This window comes from Homo sapiens, chromosome 5 (assembly GCF_000001405.40).
Source record: "Homo sapiens chromosome 5, GRCh38.p14 Primary Assembly".
In the NCBI taxonomy this organism is placed as follows: Eukaryota; Metazoa; Chordata; class Mammalia; order Primates; family Hominidae; genus Homo; species Homo sapiens.
The window spans coordinates 29,403,366-29,410,168 of record NC_000005.10 but is presented as its reverse complement, the minus strand read 5'-3'; positions in this window follow the sequence as shown (position 1 = coordinate 29,410,168).

Sequence of the window (6,803 nt, the reverse complement as noted above, 5' to 3'; positions counted from 1 at the left end):
GATGAATTAATGTTTTTCTAGGCTTTCTATTTTGTTCCATTGATCAATGTGTCTGTTTTTATGCCTATATCATGCTGTTCAGGTTACTATACCTTTGTAGTCTCTTTTGAAGTTAGGTAGTGTGATGCCTCAAATTTGTTCTGTGTGCTTAGTATTGGTTTGGCTATTTGGGGTCTTTTGTGGTTCTATATAAATTTTAGGACTTTTTTCTATTTCTGCAAAGAACATCATTGGCACTTTGACCAAGATTGCATTGAATCTGTAGATCACTTTGAGTAGTATGGTCATTTTAACAATATTGATTCTTCCAAGTCATAAACACAGGATACGTTTTATTTGCTTGTGTCTCCTTCCATATTTTTAACAATGTTTTGTAGTTTTTAGTGTAGAGAACTTTTACCTTTTTGGACAACTTTATTACTAGGTATCTTTTTTGTAGCTATTTTAAATGGAATTGTTTTCTTGATTTTTTTTTCAGCTAGTTTGCGATCCATGTATAGAAATGCTACTAATTTTTGTATGTTGATTTTGTATCTTTTAACTTTACTGAATTTGCTTATCAGTTCTCAGTTCTCAAAGTTTTGGGTAGCGTCTTTATGTTTTTGCCATATATAAGATCATGTAATCTTTGAAGGGGGACAAAGTGCCTTTTGCTTTTCAAATTTGGACGCCCTTTATTTCTTTTTCTTGCCTAAATGCTGTGGGTAGTATTATGTTGAATAAGAGTGGTGAAAGTGGGCATCATTGTCTTGTTCTTAATCTTGCAGAAATAGCTTTCAGCATTTTTCCCATCGAGTATAATATTAGGTATGTTTTTATGTGGTCTTTATTTTATTGAGTTACATATCTATATCTAATTTGTTGAGAATTTTTAGCATGAAGGAACTTTGAATTTTGTGAAATGCTTTTTTTCTGAGTATATTCAAATGATGATATGGTTTTTATCTTCCTTTTTGTTAAAGTAACATATCATATTTATTTATTTACATATGCTGAACCATCTTTGAGTCCCCAGGAATCACAGCGAATGACCTTTTTAATGTGCTGTTGAATTCAGTTTGCTAGTATCTTGTTGAGTATTTTTGCATCTATGTTAATTGGGGATATTGGTCCATAGTTTTCTTTTTTTCTTTTTTTTCTTCTATGTTCTCAAATTTGTCAGTTTATAGTTGTTCATCATATTCCCAGGATCTTTGTATCTCTGTGATATCACATGTACTGTCTCCATTTTCACTCGTGATTTTATTTCACTCATTTCTCTTTAATTCTTAATCTTGGCAAAGATTTATTTTATTTACTCTTTTAAGAAATTATCTCTTAATTTTGCTGCTATTTTTGATTTTATGCTTTTTTGTTTCATTTGTTTGTTTACTTTCTACAGTTTTTATTTCAGATTTTTCAGCTCTGAGCTTTATTTTTGTTCTTCCTTCTACCAATTTTGGATTTAGTTCTTGTTTCACTAGCTCCTTGAGAGGTACAGTTTGGTTATTAGAAATTATTCTTCTCTTTTGATATAGCTGTTTATTGCTATGAACTTCCCACTTACATTTGGTTTTGTTTGTACCATAGATTTTCATTTGATATGTTTACATTCTTATTTGTTTCAGGCAATATTTTAATATTTGTTTTAATTTATTCAGTGGTCTATTATTTGGGAGCATGCTGTTTCGTTTTCACATATTTCTAAAAATTTTGTTTTTCTTTTTGATTTCTATTTTAAATTATTGAATTCTGAAAAGATACTTCCTATAATATCACTCTTCTTAAATATGCTAAGATATCTTTTGTGGCATAATATATTATCTATCCTGGATAATGCTCCATGTATGGATGAGAAGAATGTACATTCTGCAGCAGTTGGATGTAACAGTGTCTAACTGTCTCTTAGATCTATTTGGTCTGTGATATTTAAGTTTAATCCTTCTTTGTTGACTTACTGTCTAGATGATCTGGCTGTAGTTGTAACTGAGGAGTTGAATTCCCCTCCTATTGTTGTATTGCTGTCTGTATCTTCCTTTATATCTAATAATATTTGCTTTATATATTTGGGTGATCTTGTGTTGCGATAATACATATTTATCATTCTTATATTCTCTTATTGAATTAATCCCTTTATCATCATATAATTTCCTGCTTTGTCACTTTTCACAGTTTTTGACATAAAGCTTATTTTATCTAAGTATGACTGTTCCTGCTCACATTTGCATGAAATAACTTTGTCCATTTCTTAACTTTCAATGTTTGTCTTCAATAGTGAAATCAAGTATCTTTTAGGCAACAGAGAGTTGCTTACAACTATATGAGTGTTGTTGTTTTTTTAATCCATTTTAGCCATGCTGTTTCTTTTAATTGGATAATTTAATACATTTACATTCAAAGTTATTATTGATAGGTGAGGAATTATTCCTGCTATTTTGTTCATTGTTTTCTGATTGTTTTGTAGATCATTTGTTCCATTCTTTATCTCTGGTCGTTTACCTCTGTGATTGGATGGATTTCTGTCCTGCTAAGGTTTGCTTCCTTTCTCTTTATTCATTATGTATCTGATATAATTTCTTTCTTTTTTTAATTATCATGAGGTTAATGTAGGGCCTAGTAGTTATAATAGACTATTTTAACCTGATACCTACTTAACTTTGTTTATGTAAGAATATTCTAGGCTTTTTCCCTCTCTCCCAAAATGGTACATTGGTTGCCTTAATTTGCATCTATATATTTTATGTATTTTTTTTTAGCTATGAATTGGGGCTGTTGATTTTTTTTTACCTTTTTGACTTTATTATACTAGAGCATTCAAAGATTTACATAGCACCATAACAGCAGTGAAGTAATGTTAAATTAATAAGTTTACTTACATTGGTGAATTTTGTGCTTTCCCATGTTTTAGGAATCAGTATCATTTTGTTTCCATTTGCCACACTCTCTTAAGCACTGCTTGTAAGGTCAGTCTACAGGTGATAAATTTTCTCAGTTTCTGCTTGTCTGGGAAATACTTATTTTTCTTTCCTCTCTGAAGTACAGCATTATTGGTAATAGTATTCTTGGTTGACAGTTATTTTCTTTCAGCACTTCAAATATATCATCACATTCTCTCTTGTCCTGCAAGGTTGCTGCTGAGAAATCTGCTGCTGATCTAATGGAAATTCCCTTATACATGACTTGACAATTATCCACTGCAGCTTTTAGAATTGTCTCTTTGTCTTTGAATTTTGACAGTTTGATTATAATGTGCCTTGGAGAAAACTTGGGGTGGTTATATGTCATTCAGAACCTTTGAACTTCTTGAGTCTGGATGTCCATATCTCTCCCAAGACTAGGAAGTTTTCAGCTATCATGCTGTTAAATAAGTTTTCTGTACCTTTCCCCATTTCTTCTCCCTCTGTCACTTCGGAAATATTATTTGCTTATTTAATGGTGTCCCATAATTCTGCTGGCTATCTCCATTCTTTTGTATTATTGTTTCTTTCTCCTTCCTCTTGAAACTGTCTGGTTTCAAAATAGTGCTCTGCTGTAGCAGCTTAGATCATTGGATTATTTCAAACAACCTGCAATCAAGTTAAGACATTTTTCTTCTGTTTGATCAAGTCTATTGTTGAAGATCTCAATTGTATTTTTTTATTTGTGGAATTTCTCAGTTCTAGATGTCTTTTTTGGTTCTTTTTTATTATATCCACCTCTGTTAAATTTATCAATCAGATAATAAGCTGTTTACTTGATTTCATTGAAATATTTTTCTGTATTTTCTTGTATCTCACTGATATTCTTACTATTGTTATTTTTAATTCCTTTTCATGCATTTCATCAATATCTTCTTTGGAATTCATCTATTCCTGGAGACTTTTGTATTTCTTTGGTGATGTCATGTTTCCTTGCTTTCCTCATGTTTCTTTGGCCCTTAATTGATATATTTGTGTCTAGTGACCCAGTTGCTTTTACCAATTTAATAAAGTAGCTTTTGCATAAAGAGGAATTTTCTTGTAGCTCGGTTCTAGACTGTCAGTTGGTTGGGAATAATGCTTTGGCTTTGGGTCTGGGTAGACAGGTTTCCACTAAAAGTCTGCTGTCAGATGTATTGAAGCTCCATTGTATGTTGTTTATTTTATCTTGCTGATTTTAGGATCCTTTATTTACCTTTACTCTTGGGAGTATGATTATTAAATGCCTTGAAGTAGGCTTCTTTGGGTTAAACATTACATCAGTCTGTTCTCACGCTGCTATGAAGAAGTACCCAAGACTGAGTCATTTATAAAGGAAAGAGATTTAATTGACTGATGGTTCCACATGGTTAGGGAGGTCTAAGGAAACTTAACAGTCATGGTGTAAGGGGAAGCAAACATGTCCTTCTCACATGGCAGCAGGAGAGAGAAGTGCAGAGTGAAGAGGGTAAAAGCCCCTTATAAAGCCATCAGATCTTGTGAGAACTCACTCACTATCATGAGAGCAGCATGGGGGAACCACCACCATGATCTAATCATCTCCCATGAGGTCCCTCCCCCAATACATGGGGATTATGATTTAGATTATAATTCAAGATGAGATTTGGGTGGGGACACAGAGCCAGACCATATCAAATATTTTATGTTCTATAATCTTCTTGTACTTGGATATTTATATCTTCCTCTAGGTTTGGGAATGTCTCTGTTATTATCCCTTTGAATAAACTTTCTATCCTCACCTCTCCTTCCACCACTTCTTCAAGGCTAATAACTTTTAGATTTGCCTTTTTGAGGCTATTTTCTGGATCCTATAAGTGTGTTTCATTGCCTTCCATTCTTTTTTCTTTTAACTCCTCTGACCATGTATTTTCAAGTAGTCTGTCTTCAAGATCACTTACTTTTTCTTTTCCTTGATCTATTCTGCTATTTAAAAATTCTGATATATTCCTCAGTATGCCAACTGCATTTTTCAGCTCCTGAGTTCTTTGTCATTATTTCAATTTATTTGATAAATTGATCTGATAGAATTCTGAATTCCTTCCCTGTGTTATCTTGAATTTCCCTGAGTTTTCTCAAAACAGCTATTTCGAATATACTGTCCAAAATGTCATGAATCTCTCTTTTTCCAGGATTGGTCCCTAGTGTCGTATTTATTTCGTTTGGTAAGGTCATGTTTTCCTGGATTATCTCTTGACACTTGTAGATGTCTGTCTGTGTCTGGGCACTGAAGAGTTGGGTATTTATTGTAGTGTTAATAGTCTGGGCTTGTTTTTTCTGTCTTTCTCAGGAAGGCTTTCTGGATATTCCAAAGGGTTTTGGTGTTGTGATATAAGCTGTATCTGCTTTAGGGTATGCCCCAAGCCCAGTAACACTGAGGTTCTTGCAGTGTCTTAGAGGGGCAACCTAGATGGTCTTGGACAAGTTCTGTAGAATTCTCTAGATTACCAGGCAGAGACTCTTTTCTCTTTCCTTACTTTTTCCTAAAGAAATGGAGCCTCTCTTTCAGTTCTTTATCCACCTAAAGATGGGAGTGAAGTAACACAAGAACCCCTATGGCCACCATTACTATGACTGTTCTGGGTCAAAACTAAAGCCAGCACATCACTAGGACTCACCCAAGTACTACTGTAACCACTCTCTGGATACTGCCTATGTTCACTCAAGGCCCAGGAGCTCTACAATCAACAGGTGGCACAGACAGCCAGGCCTGTGTTTTTCTCTTCATGTGGTGAAGTCTCCCAGGCCTTAAGTGGCTCCAGAAGTATTCTCTTGGAGTCAGAGACTAGAGGAAAACACCTGGTATTCTTTTATACTATGGCTGAGCTGACACTCAAACCACAAAACGTAGTCTTTCCCCCTCTTACCTTCCCTTTCCAAAGGCAGAGGAGCCTCACCCCATAGCCGCCATCAACACAGGCCATGCAGACTACTGACAGATTAATGCCGGTGTTTCCTTAAGGCCCAAGGGCTCTTAAGTCAGCTGGTGGTGAATGCTGCCTGGCCTGGGACTCACACTTCAGGGCAGTGGGCTTCTTTATAGCCCAGGGTAGGTCCAGAAATGCCATCCAGAAGTCAACCTCTTGAATCAAAAATGCCAAGAGCCCTCTTGATTATCTACCCCACTGTGGCTGTGCTGGTATCTAAAGCCAGCAAGTTTCAGAGGCTCACCCAAGGGCCCTGACGTAATACCTCGGTATCACTGTTTGTTATTCAGGGCCCAAGGTTCTTCCGTTAGCATGAGATGAATGCTGCCAGGTCTAGGTTCTTCCTTTCAGGACAGCAAATTCCCTCAGGCTCTGAGTGGATCCAGAAGCGCTGTCTGGAAATCAGGGACTAGGGTCAAAAACCTTAGAAGTCTATTTAGTATTCTACTGTCTTGCTGCTAGGGTGGCACTCAAACCAAAGACACAGTCCTTCCCATTATTCCTCCACCCCTTGGCAAAAGCAGAGCAGTCTTATCCTGTGGCCACCATCACCAGAGGCCCATGGGGAATACTGCCAGACTACTGTCAATGTTCCCTCAAGGCCCAAGGGCTGTTAAATCAGTCTGTGGTGAGTAATGTCTGGCCTAGGATTCACCCTTCAGGGAAGTGGACTCTCCTCTGGCCAGGGCCAAGGGTCAAGTCCTGGAATCAGGTACCCCAAGACATGACTTGGTATTCTATTCCCCTGTGGCCAAGCTGGTACCTGAGGTCAGCAAGTCTCAGAAGCCCATCCAAGGCCCTTGCTGTATTACCTGGGTATCGCTGCTGCTTATTCAGGGTCCAAGATTCTTCAGATAGCAGGTGATGAATGTTGCCAGGACTGGGTCCTTCCCTTCAAGGCAGTGGGTTCCCTTCTTCCCTAAGATATGTCTAGAAATGTCTC